Source organism: Homo sapiens, chromosome 6 (assembly GCF_000001405.40).
Source record: "Homo sapiens chromosome 6, GRCh38.p14 Primary Assembly".
Taxonomy (NCBI): Eukaryota; Metazoa; Chordata; class Mammalia; order Primates; family Hominidae; genus Homo; species Homo sapiens.
In genome coordinates, this window is record NC_000006.12 from 163305213 (window position 1) to 163325556 (window position 20344).

The following is a 20344-nucleotide window of genomic DNA, read 5'->3' on the forward strand; positions in this document are numbered from 1 at the left end:
GAAGGAAACCCAGAGACTCTCCTACTCTTCGTAGAGAATGGGAACCTTCAACTTTGATTCCTAAACTTTCCCAACATAAGTGACTTCAATGTGGCTTTCTGGTTTGTTTCTTAAGACCATTCAAATACTTGGAAGGTTCCTCCTTTTTACCTTCTCACTCTATTCCTGCGATCCCACAGTTATAGGTTCTCCTCGTGCCTCTGGTCCAATACCAGGCGTCCGTCCACTAAGTAGCAATGACGTCCCTGGGCAGTCACGCTCAGCCTGCTCGTCTATCTTGTATTCATGAAAGCCTTATAATTTCCTCATCTAGAAGACTATGTAACTAATATCTACCAGACTAAAAATAAATCATAATAAATGCCCATAAAGATGGGGGTATGAAATGTGAAATTGATCCTAGACTTTGCCCATACTGACCATGTGTTTATGGCACTGAGAGAAAAGTCCTTGAAATCAGTCGGCCTTGATTTTTGTCATCCTGCCTGTATCTCTGTGAGTGATACTATTTTAAGGACCTGTAATGAAGTAAAGATAGTGTAATAGTCTATGTCATAAAAAGTGATATTTTTTATCATAGCAATTGACTATCCTAGGAAACACTACCCGGTTGGTTGCAGTGGCTACAGTATCTCCCCATCACTTACTCACCTGGAACCTCTCTGCTGATGATACGGGGCTAAAGTTCTTCTGTAGGTAGCAAATGTTCTGCTACCTCCTGCTCTCGCTGTGATGACATGTGATGCTTGGACCTCTCTTTCTGAACCTTCCCGCCATCATTCTTGCACTTCAGCAGATTCTTACTTTGATTTCTCTTTTTCAGGATCCCAGTATCACTTACTGCTTACATCATTTCACTACATTTTCTCACCTCTCAAAACCTCAATTTTCTCCCCTGTGAAGGGGAATAATAATAGTATTTAGCTCATAGGGCTATTCTTAGTTTTAAATGACCTAATCTTTGTAAATGACATTATATTGTTGTTATTATTACTCCACCATGAGATAAGACAGCGAGAAATAGATTTAACACAGACAGCTGGACTTAACTCTCTGCTCTTTTTTTGAAGCACTCTGTTCCCCGAATCATGTTGGCCAATAAGAAAAGAGATGAGCTTTTACTTCACAAGCTTGAATTCAGCTTAATTCAATGATAACTGAATCTATTGTTATAATTATCCAGTAGAGGGATAAATTGATGAACCCACCTATTTTTCTTAGTATAACTTTCAGGTCAAAACAGTAATTAATCAGAGAAGACCTTAGCTTGCCTTTTTGTAGTCTTGACCAAATCATTGTCAATTGGTATGTAAAAAAGAAATTAACCCATATAATTGGTCTTTAAAAAGCTATATAGACTTACTGAAATAGCAGAATGTAATAGCATTTGATGTAGGGTGTCAACAAATAATATGAATTTTGCACAGTGCTCTCTTAACTAGAATTAATTATATAAACATTTGGTCTTTTCAGGTTTTCTTAGAACTTGACTTGACACCTGATTTTGATGCTTATGAGGTTTCTGACTTACTTTGAAGAATTACATAGTTGCTTTGTGATCATCTTTTCAGTTGAAATACAGGCATCCATTGAATAACTGTCATTTCTAAATGCTTATTCCAAAGTTACATTGTGATATTATAAAAAGTAATATTAGGTGAATAGAAACCAGAGAGCATCCAAAGTTCAGTCTTTATTCAGAGGCAGTAACTGAGATTCAGAGAAGTTAAATAACCTGCCCATAGTTAAATAGCTAGTGAGTTATTGAATAGTATAGCTACTAAGTTATTGAAAATTATATCTCAGGCTATTTGCCTTGAAGTCCAGTATTCTTTTCACTATATCAGTATGATCCCATTGTTAGTGTTGTACATTTCATAGATAAATGAATCTACTTTGCAGTTGGACAACGACAATTGTTTAGAAATTGTCATTGTCTATGTGAGGGAAATTTAGATATTGAATTGACTCTTAGGCCAAGATTCATGATCTCTTCAGGTGACCAATGGCCCCATTCAGAAGATGAAAACGTTTCCTCAAGCTTTTGGAAATATGATGGCTTAGTAACCTAGTGCTTTAGTGACCCAGCCTTCGGTGTCAAGAAGAGAGAAAGAGAACGAGACATCCAGCTGGGAATCGAGTGCTTACTTCAAAGCTTTTATCTTCAGAGGAAAGAAATCTTGTGAATTTCATTAATGTCAACAAGATCTGAGAAGATTTGAAGTGGGTAAGCCCTTGGGCATCTCTAGCGTGCCAGATGCCGTGGTTATTGTAAGTTTTGGTTGAAAAACCATTGCAACTTTGATTCACACACCCATGAACCAAGACTTTGGAAATATCCATTGTAAGGTTGTATTTAAGGGAATGTAGGGAACCTTCGGTTTCCAAGAGAACATGAAGTCAGCCAAGGAAGCAGTGGCTAAGCATGGCCCAGACACAGAAACACCCAGGATTCCAAATGGGGAAACACACATTATGGTTAAGGGGGAGAAAAGTTGAGTCCCCTCAAAGTTACATAGCAAAGCTAAAAAAATAGAGTGAAAGAAGCATTTCTTTAGGATTCTAAAAGCAGATAACTTCACGGCTTCTCCCCAAAAGGCTCTTCTCTTACTCATTGTTTAAAAAGAAAAAAAATGAATTTGGTCCTAGGTTTTCCCCTGCCTCTTTCTTTTCTTTCTCACTCCTTCACCTCCAGAAAAGACCAGATTGGAATTCATAGCTGTTTCCCTATAATTATCTAAACTTTACTGGAGAAAACTCTTATTCTAAAACAGGTAACACTATTTCTATATAGTAAATTCAGTCCAAGCTAACCCAAACAAACACATTTCTGGCAAAACAAATGGTGACAATTTAATCTAGGTATTGAAACTGTAAATATCTTAAAAGATAAAATATACCTGTAGCTTTCCTTTTCCCCTTTCTTAATTCATATTAAAAAAACTCAAAAGCAACCATTTCTAAATTCGCAAACATTATGAGTTATTGTTAATGACTTTTTTTAGCAATATGTTATCTGTTGAATAAATTTCTTTTGAAAATTTTTAGCTTTATTTCACTAAAATTGACATTTCTGCTTAAAAAACAAGGAGTAAATACAAACAAGGAGTTTCTGTTTTGGTCATCTCAATCTTTTAACTACTAAATCCAATAAACACAAAGGAAAAATTTGGCTGGGTGTGGTGGCTCACGCCTGTGATCCCAGCACTTTGGGAGGCCAAGGCGAGCGGATCACTTGAGGCCAGGAGTTCGAGACCAGCCTGGTCAACATGGCAAAACTCTGTCTCTACTAAAAATACAAAAATTAGCTGGGCATCGTGATGCACACCTGTAATCCCAGCTACTCAGGAGGCTGAGGCAGGAGAATCGTTTGAACCTGGGAGGCAGAGGCTGTAGTGAGCCAAGGTTGCACCACTACACTTCAGCTTGGACCACAGAGTGAGGCTCCGTCTCAAAAAAAAAAAAAAGGAAAATTTATTCAGAATCATCCAACAGAGAATCTGTGATGGCTTAGTGTCGTCAAGAAACATGATAATAATAAATGCAGTGAGTTCCACCTGCACAAACCTGCCAAGACCTGAGCCAGGCCGCCAGGGCTCGCTTTCTCTCTCACCACAGCGGATGACATCACTGCAACCCAATCAGAAGAAAGCCAGCTTTAGCTGTGACTGATGACGTCAAAGGTTACAGGTCTTAATAGGTGAAAATCCTTTTACTTGGGCCTTAAAGCTCTTGAAATTTTTTAGTTCAGCATTTGAGAATCAAAAATATGCCTTTTCTGGTCCAGAAAGAAACTATTTGATTTCTTCTGTCAGCATTTTTTTTTTAAATTCCACTCAGTGTTGCTTCAGCGAGATTACCTGGCCCCAGTGGGGAACACATGGCAAGGCGATTTCTGCAGTCGGCTTGATTCCGACAAATGCTGGGTACGGAAAGAGCTTGGATCTGGCCTGAGTTCACTCAAGCGCCATGTGTGCAAAGTGGCTACGCCTGGCAGCAAATGCTCCACATGCCAACGGCCAGAGCACAGCCCTAGACCGATGGCGGTGCGGCTGAACCACGAGGCCTCCGCAGCTATTTATTTCAGAGCCTTGGTTTTATGGCTGTCATTCAGCCTTGGGTGCGTGGAGAGAGTCAGTCTGCCTGAGTCAATGTCTCATGCTCTCTGCGGCTAAGGTGAATGTTGTTCTATCAGTATAATCGTCATGTATTTGTCTGAGATAGTTGCTAATTTCTACAGTCAGTTCTACAGTCTAGCTATTGTGTACCTAGGAAGTAACACAAACCATTGTTGTTACTGAGCCTGGCAAGTTGCATCATAAAATTCAAGCTTCCGAAAGCAGGTATTTAGTGTGAAGAAAGACTGGTAATGATAGTTTTATCATCATCTCAGTCACCTCTTAACCATTTCCTGATTCACTCAGGTGGTTTTTAATGGAGTTTCCCAAGTTAGTGTTTCCTGGGAGAATGTTTGGTTCGTTGCCTTCTAACAGCCTCCAGCTCTTCAGGCATCTCAGGCAGGAGAGCGTGTTGGGGCCGGGACTCTCCTCCCGTGGACCTGACAACTCTGCCTTCCCCGGTGTGGTCTCGCTGTTCCCTTTGAGAGTGCGATGCTGCCGCTTCAGCCAGGACGTTCTCAAAATTAGCAGAAGGGCTTCCTTCCTGAAATCGTGCCTATTTAGGATTTTCTTAGTCATTACGAAAAAGTATAGATAGAGTTCATAAATGACTTCATCTATTCGGTATCAAATGAACAACACTTCAGGCATGTTGAATGAGCAATCTAAAGGAAACATTTATTTGTTTAATTTTTCCAGTGCCTTCAATAAGGCTTTCATTTCCAAATAACTCCTTTGTGTATTGCTGTTCATACAATGGCTATATATTTACCATTTAACAGTATTGCCCCAAAGCGTAAGAGTGAGAAAAATCCAAATTTGAATTAAATTCTCCCTGAGCCTCGCAGTGGCCGTCACACGTTCCCCTCCTGCTTTTCGCGTCTCTAGGATCTCCGAGTGTCTTGACTACAACAAACCGTTCAGAGTTCTCAAGACGCAGGGCTCGGTGGCAAGCAAAGCGCCACGGGGGACACACAGCGCGTGGAGGCTCTGGAAGCAGTGGGGTGCGTGGGCCCAGACATACTTCCATGGAGGAGAAAGTGACCACTGTATGCTACAGGAAGCGTGGCTAATTAGGCTTCCTCAGCTGGATGGCAAGCTCCCGGGGGTCTTTTTTGTCTCGCATTGCCCTATAGCGCGGAGTAGATGCTTAGTCTACAGGGAGGACAGCCTGTGAAACAGCTGCAGCTGCTGCCACGACCCACGGCGTTCTGCAGGACGGAGGAGCAACGCGTCAGCACACGTCCCGGGAGTGACGTGGGAAGACCTCGCTCTGGCCACCAAACCGTCCTTCCTTTCTGTCTTTGCTTCCTTCACCTTCGATTTTTTCCTTTCTCCTGTAATAGTCATAACTAAAGAACGTAGAAGAAAGAATGAAGTTTGCACACAGTCTAGAATTGAAATGGAGAATACATCATCAGAATCCTAGGTCATCCAAGCCTCTTGCTGGTCCGTGTCCACGGAGTGGCAGATATCTTTGTGAAATGTAAATGTGTCAGGTGCAGCTCCCCATTGCGGTGGCCCTCGGTGACAAGATATACGGCTGTCCCTTCACAGCCCCAAGCTGAGTTCACGCAGCCCGGAGGATGCTATCGCTGGACAAGAGACCAGAGACCGGGATAGACACGTGCGTCCTAGTTCTGAACAAAATGGTATCCGGAAAGAGAAAGCATCCCATGGGGACAGTTTAAGGAGGTTTAGATAGAAAAATGAGTGTGCATATTATTCATGCTTAAACTGCTTACATCATCAAAAACACCAATATTCAGAGGAATAAATGCACTTAAAATAATTCTTAACCAAGAACAACTTTGAGGCAGTAGGTCACATGCCTCCTGCATGGAGGGATCTCCAAGAACAGAAACTAAATCCCTCGTTCTCCTCTGCCTGCCTCTCATCTTTCCAGAAGCACCAGGTCTGGCTTAAACCATTGCTTTCATTCTATTTGTTTGATTATAAATAAAATATATCTTTTCCATCATCAATGTATATTTTCTAGCTCCCAGACATAAAATCCACTCCTTGCTTTCTAAATTGAAGTGTCATTTTCCTAATCAGAATTGACAATTGTAAATAACCATTTGGGTTTATTCGTTTTAATGTCCTATTCTCACAAACGTATTTTTCACGTGTCGCATGTATTTAAAATGGTGAGTTCAAACTTAATCATCTCAATTTCAGGCCCTCAAAAAACTGTCAATGTAGCAGGTTTGAAATGGAGACCTCATGATTCACCTGCTTCTCAACATAGTTAGACCCCAAACCGTGCAGGGTCATTGTTTCAGCATGAAAAGTAAAGGAGGTGTTCCTTTTTTGGTCTTTTTTCTACCCCAATGATACGCATTCTGCAACCACAAATATTCCAACTCCAACTCACTTTTTGAATAAGCAACTCCTATTGTGTTTTGTTCTTTTATCATTTGAGGTTATACACTGTGGAAAAACAAAAAAAGCTACATAGTTTACTTACTCCTATGGTCAAATTTTTTTTAAAAGTAAGAACATGAGATAAAGTTCTGCTTGTCATTGCTGCCTTCTGGGGCAGTGGAAAAGCAGGTGCCTTAAGCTTTCCATTGTGTGCAGATCTTCCACGCCCTTTCCCTCCATCAGGAAAATATGTCTGTCTCCTGGTCTATTCAGCTCTTGACCTTCTGACTCATATGCCGACAAAAGGCACCATTTATGAGTGACTAATGTATGTATCTTTGTCCATAAGGAACTTGATCACAGCAGCCACAACTCAGCATCATCATCAACTATCTTTTCCGTGTGCCCTCCAGGGGTTTATGCAATGGGCTCTGTCCTATGCAAACAGGCCATGCCACCTTCTCCCTAGGTCCACCTCTTTCATGCCTAGGAGGAGTTTATCAGCTATAATTTGGGGAGAAGGGGCACACAAAGATGAGCCCAACTCTGAGGGGACATTTGTCCCTGCTTTGGTTGGAATCCTGGAAAGCTGAAGTTGTTTCTAAAAAGCACATTCTCTGCTGCTGACCTCCCCTGTCACGCAGGGTCCTCCCACCAGCACCTCTGTTCAAATCCCCTGTTGCTTTTCATCCTGCCCACCTTCTTCCTTAACATCTTTTCTTTACACCTGTAGCAAATGTCAACAACGCCTCCTCCCAACACGAGCTTCCTCCTCCTCTCTCAATCCAACTCAAAGTCCTTCGTGGAAGGCTCCCCACAAGCGGAGCCACCGGGCTTCATCTCCCCCGTGCAGCCATTCCTGCCTGCACCTTCTCACGCCTCCGAACACCATGTCAATCTTAAGAAATATAAACAGAAAAACCGGTGGACTTCAAATGCATATCCATTTACATGTTTGTTTTTACAAAGTGTATCGTTGTTTTCCTCAAAAACAATAGGGCAAGGACCCTTTTGTTTCAAAATCTTATCTCTTGTTTATCTGATATATTCTTTTTGTTTTGTTTGTTTGTTTTTGAGACAGGGTCTTACTCTTTGCCCAGGCTGGAGTGCAGTGGCGCGATCATGGCTCGTTGCAACCTCGACCACCTGGGCTCAAGTGATCCTCCCACCTCAGCCTCTCAAGTAGCTGAGATTATAGGTACATGCCACCACACCTAGCTAATTTTTTAATTTCTTTTATAGAGATGGGGTCTTGCTGTTGTTGCTCAGGCTGGTCTCAAACTCCTGGTCTCAAGCCATCCTCCCACATCAGCCTCCCAAAGTGCTGGTATTACAGGCATGAGTCACTGTATCCAGCATCTCTCTCTCTCTCTCTCTCTGTTCCTCTCTCTCATTCGTGTGTGTATATATATATACATATATATATATAACATTTTGAATATTTGGGATGATCAAACTTTAAATAAATTGAAATTCAGCTTTACCTGTGACAGCACAAACACATGTACTATGAGGAACGAAAAACCCACCTAATCACAATGGCTTTGTGAACCATTTTAAGGTCATTTATTATGAATAAATGACATGCACTACAGTTGTGTGACTCACAATCTTTTTTTTTCTGAAAATTAGTAATATATCTGCCTGCCTTCACCCTCACCAAAAGAAAAGAATAAGGATAGAAATTTATTGTGTGTATATCACAGAAGACAGTGATATTTCTCTAATAAGTTTCTGGAAAAATCAAGCAAAAGAACTGCTTCCCTGTGCTGTGTAGGATTGTAATTGTTATATTTATTCTGGTCTGAACCATTACTAAGTCTTTTTTAAATGTCTCGAATGACTAATTAAGGATAAAAGGTTGGAAACACCATTTTTCCCTCTATTATTTTCACATTCAAACAAGATAAACATTGTGGGTCTACACTTGAAATATGAATAAAATGAATTCTTTCTCTGGTGAAATGCACATTTTCAAGTTGCACTGAAGGTCCCTGGCCCCATGGCACTCTCTAGGCCTGAGCTGTCACCCTCATCCTACTGGGTCCTCCCAGCCCACCTGTGTACTTTCCTTCCACCATAGATAAGGCAGGACACACTCATGACTTGCTTGCTGGGAGAATAAATGTCGTTGAAGCCCTTGGTAACCTAGGAGTGGAATACAACAGAAAGCGTGGAATGACTATCGTTAGAGAAAACAATTGTGGAATATCTACACGCAGAATGGAAACTAAGGGGCCCCATTTTTGTCAGACTCCCTCACCCTTGGTAACTCCTGCAGCTTGGATACAATCGCATATCTCTTTCCTTAGTGATTTGAGATTGAGTCTGTGGTGTAGAGGAGAGGCTCTTAGCCATAGGTTCCTGGCCTTTGAAGGCCACCCTAGGAATTGCTTCCCTCGTAGCATCAGAGGCAGCTGAAGCGGTCACTTCCAGACTCTGCAGCTGACACACCTCCCCGGACTTGGGGACTCCAAAACTAGCAGTGGCACAAACTCCCTGCAAAGCCCTGACTGACAAATAGCTGTCATCCCAGCATTGAGTGATAGTTCGGGAGCAGCCAGGGCAGGAGAAGCAGCTTCCTCCTGTCCCACCTGCACCTGGAATGAGCAAAATGATTTCAAGGAACTGAACACTTGGATTACTGGGATTCAGGAGAAAGAGTTTGCCATGTGTTCAAAAGCAGCAGAGATGCGGGTGGGGGCTAAGCCTCATTCCAAAGCAGATCCATTTTAAATCACACGGAACGAACAGCCTGATCTCACAATAGACTGTTCCTTCTAAGTACACCGTGCTGTGATTTTGGAAAACTCAGGGCCCAAGAGAACACTCTGTATATAATAGATCAAGAAAGAGAGTCCCCGACTTGTCATCTTTCTTGTAACTGTGATTCACTTACTTTTGTTTACTCTGTTATTCCTTTATTTTAGGTTATTTTTCATCGGCTCCAATCTGGGACTTGGTATTTTTGTACAGTTGCCACTGCTTTTAAAACTCCGCAAGATCGTGTAAAAATCTTGCATGTTTGTGTCTCCTAATAAGCATTCAGAGAAAATGCCTAGACTGTGTAGGACTTTTCGGGAAATTGCAGAGAAGTAACTGGCCTCTTTGTGTGTTTGCATGCACCAGTGAACTCCGGAGACGGCATTGACTACAGCCAGCAGAAGAGGGAGAACATTGGGGACTTGATCCAGGAGACACTGGAGGCCTTCGAGCGCTACGGAGGAGAAAATGCCTTTATCAACATTAAGTACGTGGTCCCAACCTACGAGTCTTGCTTGCTAAACTAACAGTGGCAGCAGCTGGGACTTGAAACCTCCCGTTGGTGTTGGGATCATCTGTCTCTGTTGCTTTTAGCATCTCATTCCTTGTGACTTCCACAGCTTTCTTTTCTACAGCTGCTAAAATAGTGGCTTATGGGCCATTGGACTGTTAGCCCTATTGAGAGCAAGGCTTTCCAATACATAAATAGTGTCTGTTTCTTAGATTACAATAGTGTACTGTGCTTATTTGTTCTAAGAGAAGAATTGCTTCTTTATACAGCTCCGACAGAAGCAGGAGTCCGAGTTAAACCTTCAGTTGTATAGACAATAAACTATAATTTTCATATGCAATTCAGCAATTGCTGTTCTGTGTGTGCCTGCCCTGGGGGTGATGTCAGAGGTTGTAAGGGAAGAGTTTATGCTGACTGCTTACTAGGTGTTTGTCATGGAAGAGAAGCATGGGTTCAGCAGTGCCTCTCTAGCAGCTGTGCGGAATAATGTGCTTTGACATTCAATAAAACTGTTGAATCTATATTCCAATTACAGCAGGAAATTTTTCCAGCCCATTATAACCTCAGCTACAGTTGTAATTAATGCCTCTAGCCTACTAGTGATCTGGGCTTCAGGGGCTTTTCAGTTTATATTTGGGTGCAGGTAGGGGAAAACTAGGGAGAGGATGGGGTCAGGGTTACGTGTGAAACGTAACTTGGCAAATATGTTTAAAAAAAAAAAACAAGGGCTAGCTTGAATCCTTGTCTCTCCACCGTATGGCACACTGCATCTCAGGACCTGGTGTGTTATTGACAAAAGTGTTATCTGGCAGTTTGTTTAGGGCTTTTAATTATTTTTGAAAATGACTTATATGTATCTTAATGATTACTCCTTGAAACAGATCAAAATTCTTCCTTGGCAACTCTTCTTCCTTGCTTCCTCCCACTAGTTGGATGACTTCTCATAGCACGCAGTGGGTCTGATGGCCATTTTTGGGGATTTTATTGAGACCAAAAAGGAAAAAAAAAAAAAGACAAAAGACATGCACTTTTTCATTCAATTGAAAAAGAAAAAAGTGCCCAAAGGGAAGAGCAACTGTAAGATAGCCCCAGATCGTGGCTCTTCAGGCACGTCAGATGGGAGCTTCAGGCATTTGAAACTTAGCCCAGAAAACTTCATAAAGATGGAACACTGACTTTGCACACCTGAGAGATGCTGTAACTGCTTAGAAATACATAGCCGAAAGTATCTCGTTCCTGTAGCAAAGTGCAACTTCTGCATAAAATGAAGAAATGAGGCCAGGTGCAGTGGCTCACGCCTATAATCCCAGCACTTTGGGAGGCCAAGAGGGGTGGATCAGGAGTTCGAGACCAGCCTGACCAATATGATGAAACCCCGATTGTACTAAAAATACAAAAATTAGCCAGGCATGGCATCATGCGCCTGTAATCCCAGCTACTTGGGAGGCTGAGACAGGAGAATTGCTTGAACCTGGGAGGCGGAGGTTGCAGTGAGCCGAGATCGTGCCATTGCACTCCAGCTTGGGCAACAAGAGCGAAACTCCATCTCAAAAAAAAAAAAAAAAGAAGTGGAGAAGTGGAATGTGTTTCTCCATGCACTAAGCGTCAGCCTCCAAACTGTTTTCACTATCTAAGGCATAAGTTTCTAAAGGCAAACACCAATTTTGAAAATGAGCTCATCGTTCATTTCCCCTTATTACTGTCTCAGCATGTGCAATCTAGCATCTAAAGAGCTACCGTCCTGTTTCTGTAAGCATTTTCTACGGTGAAGGGAGAGGCGTGATTGGATAAGACAAACTGACTTTGTTTTTTGTTTTTTGAGATGGAGTTTTGCTCTTGTTGCCCAGGCTGGAGTACAATGGCGTGATCTCAGCTCACCATGACCTCTGCCTCCTGGGTTCAAGCGATTCTTCTGCCTCAGCCTCCCAAGTAGCTGGGATTACAGGTGTGCGCCACCATGCCTGGCTAATTTTGTATTTTTAGTAAAGACAGGGTTTCTCCATGTTGGTTAGGCTGGTCTTGAACTCCCAACCTCAGGTGATCTGCCCTCCTCGGCCTCCCAAAGTGCTGGTATTACAGGCATGAGCCACCGCGCCCGGCCGACAAATTGACTTTGATGCATAATATTTGGTAAAGGCACAGATAGAAGTAGACATCCACAGATTAAGGCAGGTTATTCTGCAAACTATGACATTCAATTGCATCCATCAGCTGGCGTCAGTGAAACAATCAAAAGGAACACCAAAGTCCATAAGGTTATTAGTTAGAAGGACCGTGGCTTGTTGGCGCCTTTGAAGGCTGGTGCTGGAATGGCTCTGACCCGGCTCTGTTGGCAGCTCTGGCTGCTGATTCTTCATTATACTCATGAAAACTGCCTGGTAGAGGAGCAAGAAGACCTGGCCACTTAGCCAAGAGCCCTAACTTTGGAATTAAAACATCAGGCTTTGGCCAGGCACGGTGGCTCACATGCCTGTAATCCCAGCACTTTGGGAGGCCAAAGTGGGCAGATCACCTAAGATCAGGAGTTCGGGACCAGTCTGGCCAACATAGTGAAACCCTGTCTCTACTAAAAAATACAAAAATTAGCCAGGCCTTGTGGCGGACGCCTGTAATCCCAGCTACTCAGGAGGCTGAGGCAGGAGAATCGCTTGAACCCGGAAAGTGGAGGTTGCAGTGAGCTGAGTTTGTGCCACTGCACTCCAGCCTGGGTGAGAGAGCAAGACTCTGTCTCAAAAAAATAAAATAAATAAAATAAAATCAGGCTTCATTGACGAGTTCTGTCACTTATTTGCTCTGCTGCCTTGAGCAAGATACTGAACCTCTCTGAAACTCACATCGCCTCAGCTGTGAAGTGGGGATGTCCCCTGCGTGCTGCGGAATTATAAGCTGTAGGGGTAACCTATGAAAAGTGCTACCAGAGTTTCTGATACCTGTCAGACTTTTATTTCAAAGAAAAACAAGTACAAAACATGACTACTCTCTACCCGGGCAGAGCGATATATATATCTGAGAACTCCTCAGACAATATGATGCTTCTTACGTGCAATGGTGAGTTTCTTGTGAAAAGAAGATAATTTTGCAAAAACCCAAAATAACTATATAGATAGTATCATGTTCTCTGGAAATTAAAAGGCAAAATAAAACCCCAAAACCCACATTTTTGTTATTTTAATAGAATTAGAAAAGACTGCTTTTTCCGATGGTCAGCCCACCTACGTCTGCCTTCTAAAATAATACCCGGGTCTCCTGCCAAATAATTTCTGATTAACTCAACAGAGAAGGAGGAAATGTCAGCAGCTTTCCGGCCTCTGAGCAAGACAACAGCTTCTTCCACCTGCTACATTTATACACTGAAACCACCTTTCTAAGACAGCTAAAGGAACGGAATGATGAAAAGTGGGAAATACTGGGGACTGAGTATTAGGCAAGGGTTTTTGTTTGTCCTCTTATGACTGTTACATTTACTCGAAGACACCATTCAGGTGTTCAAGTCAGTTAAGAGGGAGGCAAGGAATGAGATCTTGGACGCCAGGGTAGGGGAGCTGGGTGGGAAGGCTGAGCCGGTCACTCAGGAGCTGGACAGCCTGGAGCGAGTCACTTTGTCTTTCCTCGCCTGCAGTACAGCCTCTCTTCCCAGGTCACTGCGAGGACACGATGATAGATACTACAGCATAATGGTTCTGGTGCAGGAGTGGGAGCCCAGCAGAACTGCGTTTGAAGTATCTTTCTACCACTGAGTAGCTGTCTTGTGACCTTGGGCAAATTATGTAAATGCTCTAAAACTCAACTCCCTCTTCCAAAACTGGGCTGTATGAGGTCTACCTTGCAGGTTTGTTACAAGCGTCGCACACATGCATGTTTGTCCAGGGCTCCCCGAGGTCCATGGCGGGATACCCGTGAGGATGGAGGGATGTTCCTGGGGAAGCAGCCAACCAAGTACCTGGAGAAAACAGGTGCTCCGTCATCGTGTGGTCCCCCAGGAGAGCCGGGATCTAATGTCTGCTGAGCCCTCATTGGCCGGGGTGGGTGGTCTCTGGCCCCCAACAGGCCCAAGTGAGACGGATGCCAGGATTTGCAGCCCACACACCCTCCTGGAAGTCATCTCCATGGGCACACTGCTCGCTATGAGAGTATCCTTCCCTGCCCATCGGGTGGGAAGAATGGCACATGATTTTTATGGCCTGACTCTACATGAGAAATGTCAGTCAAAAATATGGCGTTCAGGCTGGGCGTGGTGGCTCACACCTGTAATCCCAGCACTTTGGGAGGCTGAGACAGGTAGATCACCCAAGGTCAGGAGTTTGAGACCAGCTTGGCCAACATGGTGAAACCCCGTCTCTACTAAAAATACAAAAAATAAGCCAGACGTAGTGTCAGCAGCCTGTAATCCCAGCTACTCGGGAGGCTGAGGTGAGAGAATTGCTTAAACCTGGAGGCAGAGGTTGCAGTAAGCTGAGACTGCATCATTGCACTCCAGCCTGAGCAACAAGAGCAAAACTCCATCTCAAATATATACATATATATATATATATATATATATATATATATATATATATATATATATATACATAGAGAGAGAGAGAGAGAGAGTTAAAAAACTCTGTGAAATGGTTACATCCTTAGGAAATATTATTTTCAAAGCTGAAGATGATATCTTAAACAACAACAACAACAAAAAAAACCCTTAAGTCCTTCTGGGGTTGACCTCCATGGATCTCTAGCGAAGTTTCAGTATAGGTCGTGGGACATCTCAGACTGCTAATTTAGAGAAGCTAAAACTAAAGAGTTTTAAGTCTGTTTCAACATGCACTGCTGCCTGTTTTACTTCTGTTGGTTATTTTGAGAAGTTCATCACGAGCCTTTTGCAAGCAAAAGCTGGGAGGCTCAAAGATGGATCTTCTTTCAAAGGAGTACTATACCTGGGGAAATGCCCTGTGGATATTTTTCTAAATATAAATTTTGATTCTCCAATAGGATTTTAAATGGAATCAGAAAGCCTCAAATGCTTTCCAAACAATTCCCTCTACGAAAGCTTCCTTCATTAGAAATGTACCCATTGATCAAAGTTTGTCCAAAATGTGACACTTCCAAGATATAAGGAGGCTTTGCTTTCAGCAAAGTGAAACTGACTTTGACCAAGTTCCCATTCACACCACGTCGATTCATGTTCACCAAACATCCAGGGCCCGGAAGGACCTTGGCGGTCACACAGCTTGTGGGTCAGCAGTGCCTAGTCACACAGAGGTAACCAGGGCGGTACCCATTCTCCAGGATCTGCCACCTCCACACAGGTGTCCACTGGAGGCTTGCTAGGCAGCTCGTAAAACACCATATTCTTTTTCAGACCAAGAAAAAAGAGCTTTCCCAAGCACAACCAACCCCATTTTTGTTAAAATCGCCTGTTTGAAGGGACTTAAAGTTTCTATTACCTTTTGTGGAGTAGATTCAGTATTTCTTTGGTTTCCTAGGGAATCTGAGGGAGTCTCCTGTGTGCTTGGAGGGAAAGGCCACTTTAAAATGGGCACTCTATTATGATTATTTGTAATCATGACGTTGTAATACAAAAGGAAGTCATCCTCCTCTCTGTCCTGCAATGAGAAGACAATAATACAAGTATACTTGGCTTAATCAAGAGCACTTTGCAACAGGAAGATATGTACCGGTGTTGAATCCGATTCTAAAAATATCTCCCATCATCTTTGTTTCTTTTGCAGTCTTAAATGTGTGGATGCATGCAAGCTGCATGGAAATCCAAAACAGAAGTCAAGCTTTGTTTTGAAGAAACCCTAACTAGCAAACCCTAGTTTGCTCTCCAGTTCAAGTGCTGGTGATGATATTAAAGAAGCGTGTAGTAGCTATAGAAGAAACTTTCTAAGATTCTTTCCATGGTTGCCTCAATAAGAAATGATTCTATTCCTTTTGCTTGCACAATCTTATCCAATTTTAGATCTCACTACTGATATAGCTCGGTTCTTCTTACAAGTAACTTGGCAATTACCCAATTCTCCTATCAGTAGTTAATGACATGGACAGATATGTGGTGGAAAGTGCCCTTTGCACATTGATTGATTTGCATTTCTCTGTTACAGAGGTTGACTTTTGCTTTCCCCAGTGGGAATATTTGTAAGGTACTTGGATTCTTTATTCATTTTTACTTTGCCAAGTTTCTGTAAGTTTAAATCTGGGTGAAAGGATTTGTTCTCTTCCTGTGCTTGATAAGTGTAAAAATTTATTACTTTAGCTTCTTTTTTATTTAGAATTTATTGGGAAATATTCCCTAGCATTGCCTTAAGAATCTGTTGGAAACTCTGCACCCTCTACCCAGACAAGTGCACATGACATACAGTATTTTGAAGATAATTTGAGGGCATTTACAGATGTTGTAATTTCCATCTAAGAAATGGCAGTGCTTCCATTGAGAGAAGGAGAAGAGAGAATGTACCGTCCACCTGCTTAGTGACAACCACCCAGGGAGCCTGAGGGCCACTGCAGTAAGGACAGGCCGTGTTGTGTGGGAGGTGCATGCATGCTGAGACGGACTGCTCCTTCTCAGTCACCTTTGCTGCGTCTTTCTCCTCTTCCTCACCTCTAAACACCGCAGGCCTCCCAACTCAAGCCTCTGCCTCACCTCTATTTCCACCAGGTGACCCGACCAATCCCACGGATTCACATGCCGTCTGTGCATGGCCGATTCTCACATTTGCTCTCTGGCCTCAACTTCCCCAGCGCCTGCTGGGCATTTCCCCCAGGATGCCGAAGAGATCGATCCAAACCGAATGCATGGACCCACCTGACTCCCGCCACTCTCCGACCCCGCACCCTCTCCCCGCGGAGGGCTCCAGCTCAGTGAACAGGAGCTCACGTCACCACGGGGACCAAAATGCCGGGATTCATCCTCCTTTTTTTCCACGTCTGCACCCAGTCCAGTACAAATCCTGTCTACGACACCTTCAAGATCTGCATCTGACCAAGTCCCAGCCCCTCGTCCTCACTCTAGTCCAGGTCCCTGGCTCCCCCAGCTGACCCCCAACCTTGCAAGGGGTGGCCGGATCCTCTACCCGGAAGTCAGTGACCCTTTAAACGCCAATAAGGTCCCCATGCTCTCAACCCTCCAACGGCTTCTGCCTCCCAGCTGGGGCACATTCCAGATCTCTGCTGCGGGTGATGTGCGGCCTGAAGGATGTGGCCCTGGTTCCTCCTGAGCTGTTTCTTCCTGGTGGTGTTGGGCCCCTCTGTGGGCAGAGGCTGTGCTGGCTTCGTCCCTGCTCCAGCAGCAGGCCCAGCATATCCTCCCCACAGAGCGGTGCCTGGACGCCCCCCACAGTGTTCACTGAGCCTCCTCCCTCCCCTGGCCTCACTGTGGTCTCTGCTAAGTGTCGCTACCTCAGAAGGGCCTTCCTTGACGCCATACCTCTTAATCTCTGTCGCCTATGGCTTTACTTGCTTCAAAACATGGACGAGTGTCTGACTGCAGTACCTATATGCTTGATTTTTCACTTATTTCTTTACCGTGTGTCTCTACCCTAGGGCGTGAGCTCTGTGAGAGCAGGGAGCGCCTTTCACTATGACATCTCCCTCGCCAGGAAGCACGCCCTGGGCCTAGTCAGCCTTCAAAAGACATTTGTTGGCTGGGCCCGGTGGTTCACGCTTGTAATCCCAACACTTTGGGAAGCTGAGGCAGGTGGATCACCTGAGGTCAGGAGTTCCAGACCAGCCTGGCCAACATGGTGAAATCCCGTCTCTACTAAAAATACAATCATTACCCAGGCATGGTGGTGCTCGCCTGTAATTCCAGCTACTCAGGAGGTTGAGGCAGGAGAATCTCTTGAACCCAGGAGGCAGAGGTTGCAGTGACCCAAGATCCCGCCACTGCACTCCAGCCTGGGCAACAGAGTGATACTCCTGGGCTTTGCCCTCGTGTGTGACTTAGGCAGGGTGCTGGGCTTTGCCGTCCTGTCTGACTTAGGCAGGAGCGCTGGGCTATGCTCTCCTGTCTGATTTAGGCAGGGCGCTGGGCTTTGCCCTCATCTCTGACTTAGGCAGGGGCGCTGAGCTTTGCCCTCGTGTCTGACTTAGGCAGGGGCGCTGGGCTTTGCCCTCCTGTCTGACTTAGGTAGGGGCGCTGGGCTTTGGAGCGTGTCCTGTGTCAAAGGTACTGCTGTCTTGAGGGAAGAATTATCAGCCCAAGGTAAGATTCCTTGGAGACACTCAGGCTTTGGAAAACACAAATAGATGCTGCTCTCGTGGAGAAAGGTGTTCATTATTCTGTTTAAACCAAGTCAGAGGAAAGTATTTTAAATACCCTCCAAAGCTCCCGGAAATGCAGGGCCCACCTGTCTGTTCAAAGACAGACCAACATCCTTCGTGTGAGCTGCAGCCTAAGCAGGGGTCTGGTGTGGACGCCACGTGACACACTCACCGTCTCCTCCGGATTTCTCACTGGGTTCCTCTGGGGACCACGCAGGACCCGCACTAGATGAGCATCACTGAGGCTGCAAGCCGGTGTGCAGACCCCTTCCAGACGCTCCCCCGCCGTCCAGTGTGCCCTGTAGAGGACTCAGTGCAAGTGGCCTCAAAAGGCCATTCACATTCACATTCTCAGTGAGACCAAAGAGAAGGAGACCAAGTGTCCTGACCCCTCTGACAGCCAGAGTTACCCCAGCACACCCTAGATCAGCAGTTCTCAAAGTGGGCTCCCGGGGCAGCAACCTCAGCGTCACCTGGGAGCTTGGGAAGAGGAGCTCGTGTTCTTAGGGCCCTCCCTAGAGCCGCTGAATCAGAAACTTTGGGATGGGGTCTGTCAATCTGTGTTTGGACAAGTTCCCCAGTGACTGTCACACACCATGAAGTCTGAGAACCACTGTTCCAAACCGAGGCTTCTAACTGGATGTTCATTCCCAGCCATTTGGAAGGCTCAGCTGAAAGCCAGTGAGCCAGAAGCCAGCTCCACTGATCCTGCTTTCCAGACTGGCCATTCTCACAATGTTCCATTAGGCAATAGGGCTCTTCGGGGAAATTAATAGAATGTAGGCTTCAGGAATCATCAGAAAGCTGCAGCTTCCCTCGTCAGGGAAGCTGACGTCTACATCGTCCTCAGTCTAGAACAAGAATAATAGGTGTACCTTAGAAAAATGTGCTTTCAGTCCATCAGTAAAAAGCCAATATTGTAAAATCCTATTATCTTTGCTTCAAGTGTTATCAAAAAAATAATAATAATAAAATAAAGGCTTAGAAGTTTCACTGTTCAACATGGCATTTCGAAATATTCGATGTAATTGTTGTCTTTACATTTGAGACTTTTTTAAAAAATGAATCATTTCCATTAATACAGAAAGAAATCTTTCTAGTGGAGGCTCAAAATTCAAATAATCAGAATCAGTTCTTCTAAAATGACTTACGTATAATCTTGTTTGCCAGACACTGAAGTAAGATGTCTGTATTAGCATTTTCTCCATTGCCGCAGGTTTCTGTCTCTGTGGGTTCGTGAAAACAACCTACAGCCAAAACTATGTCCACATACAGCAAACCCACATGCCACTTGATTTCATCAAATGCATAATAGGGGCATTCTAGAACCAGAGCTTTAAATGGCCTTTTTGTCTCCTTCCTCATACATCTGGGGCAGCGAACATGACATTAAAATGCAGCCAGAAAAATGTCCCATAAAGAACTTTATTGACAACAAGGTAAATTTTTAATAACTCTTCAGTAGGCTTCATTCAAGAGGGGGTAATATGTCATATGAGTAGGATTTTTACAGCTCTCATAGGAATTCCCCATATTAAAAGAATGTTTGCAGTTTAGAGAGAACCCAACTGCAAAACATTCCTGAACTGTGACAATATTTGTCTCAATCTAATATTATGTGGTGGATCTTTGTTTGTGGAGAGGGGAGAGGCTACGTCCTGCTGGAGTGATTTTTCCATCAATTCAGGGCTCAGCAAATATGACCCAAACAAACAACCAAATTGATTAAAATGCTTTATTGAGAAGGAAGAGATTGAGTCTTGGAGACCTGTTTCAATAGCTACTCATGTCACCAGCAGGGCAAAGGCCACATAGCTGACAAATACCACCACATCTCACAGAAGAGGCTGAGGCGTCCTGGCCGAATAATGCTTTATTCTGGAAAAGATCTGTACGAATCTGCAAAGCAGTGAAAATGTGTGGACGGCTTCTGTTTCTTCAGCCGCAAGGGAGGCCACCCTTCATTGCCGGAGGAAGGCCCGCCCTCCCGGCTGTGGTTGCTGTGGAGCTCACAGGGGTGAAGGCATGTGGAAATTCACTGCACCATGCCAGCCTGCAGGACTGGGAGCGTAGTTCCCACTAAAGAGCAAACACTGTACTGTTTTTCCAAAAAAAAAAAAAAAAGTTAAAATCTGGATCCCAATGTTTGTTCACAGCAGGGCTGTAAAACAAGTAGACAAAGATCTCAGGGGCTTTGTGACAGCATGGTGGATTGGAGTTAAAAAGAGGTGGTGTCATTTGGATACACAGATAGTCTAGGCGAGCCTTGAGAGCAGAGAAACTGGCCTCCAATCTAAAACACAAAATGAGGGCTAGAGACCGGTGTGAGGTGGAGAGT

The 20344-nt window shown here is 44.1% G+C and overlaps 1 protein-coding gene and 1 long non-coding RNA gene across 5 annotated transcripts in view, besides 2 other annotated features; one reads left to right on the forward strand and one right to left on the reverse strand.

The window, feature by feature from the left end:
* PACRG (parkin coregulated) overlaps nt 1-10288 on the forward strand; it is a 588369-nt gene extending 578081 nt beyond the window's left edge. For 3 of the 4 annotated variants that reach the window (NM_001080378.2, NM_001080379.2, XM_047418208.1), the window contains one exon: nt 9615-10288. In NM_001080378.2, coding sequence (NP_001073847.1) covers nt 9615-9775 — 161 coding nt within the window. In that variant the 3' untranslated portion in view covers nt 9776-10288. Of the gene's footprint in view, nt 1-7566; nt 7684-9614 lie in introns of all 4 variants that reach the window. The other variant, NM_152410.3, reaches the window with a different exon arrangement.
* Nucleotides 4063-5262: an enhancer, noted in NCBI's record as "P300/CBP strongly-dependent group 1 enhancer chr6:163730307-163731506 (GRCh37/hg19 assembly coordinates)". NCBI's record gives its function as "activates an origin of replication core promoter dependent on BRD2, BRD4, P300/CBP, MED14 and CDK7 cofactors, with strong dependence on P300/CBP, by STARR-seq in HCT116 cells {active_cell/tissue: HCT116}" and the evidence as "EXISTENCE:reporter gene assay evidence [ECO:0000049][PMID:35650434]".
* On the reverse strand, nt 4773-19261 carry PACRG-AS1 (PACRG antisense RNA 1). The gene is made up of 6 exons (NR_028390.1): nt 19158-19261; nt 18179-18857; nt 15189-15347; nt 13582-13699; nt 8545-8633; nt 4773-5758 (listed from the first exon to the last, which is right to left on the reverse strand). It is a non-coding gene; the product is annotated as a PACRG antisense RNA 1 (long non-coding RNA).
* Nucleotides 16372-16872: an enhancer, noted in NCBI's record as "H3K4me1 hESC enhancer chr6:163742616-163743116 (GRCh37/hg19 assembly coordinates)". NCBI's record gives its function as "activates a minimal SCP1, AML or CMV promoter by ChIP-STARR-seq in primed H9 embryonic stem cells {active_cell/tissue: H9 hESC(primed)}" and the evidence as "EXISTENCE:reporter gene assay evidence [ECO:0000049][PMID:30033119]".
* Nucleotides 19262-20344: the final 1083 nt, after the last annotated feature.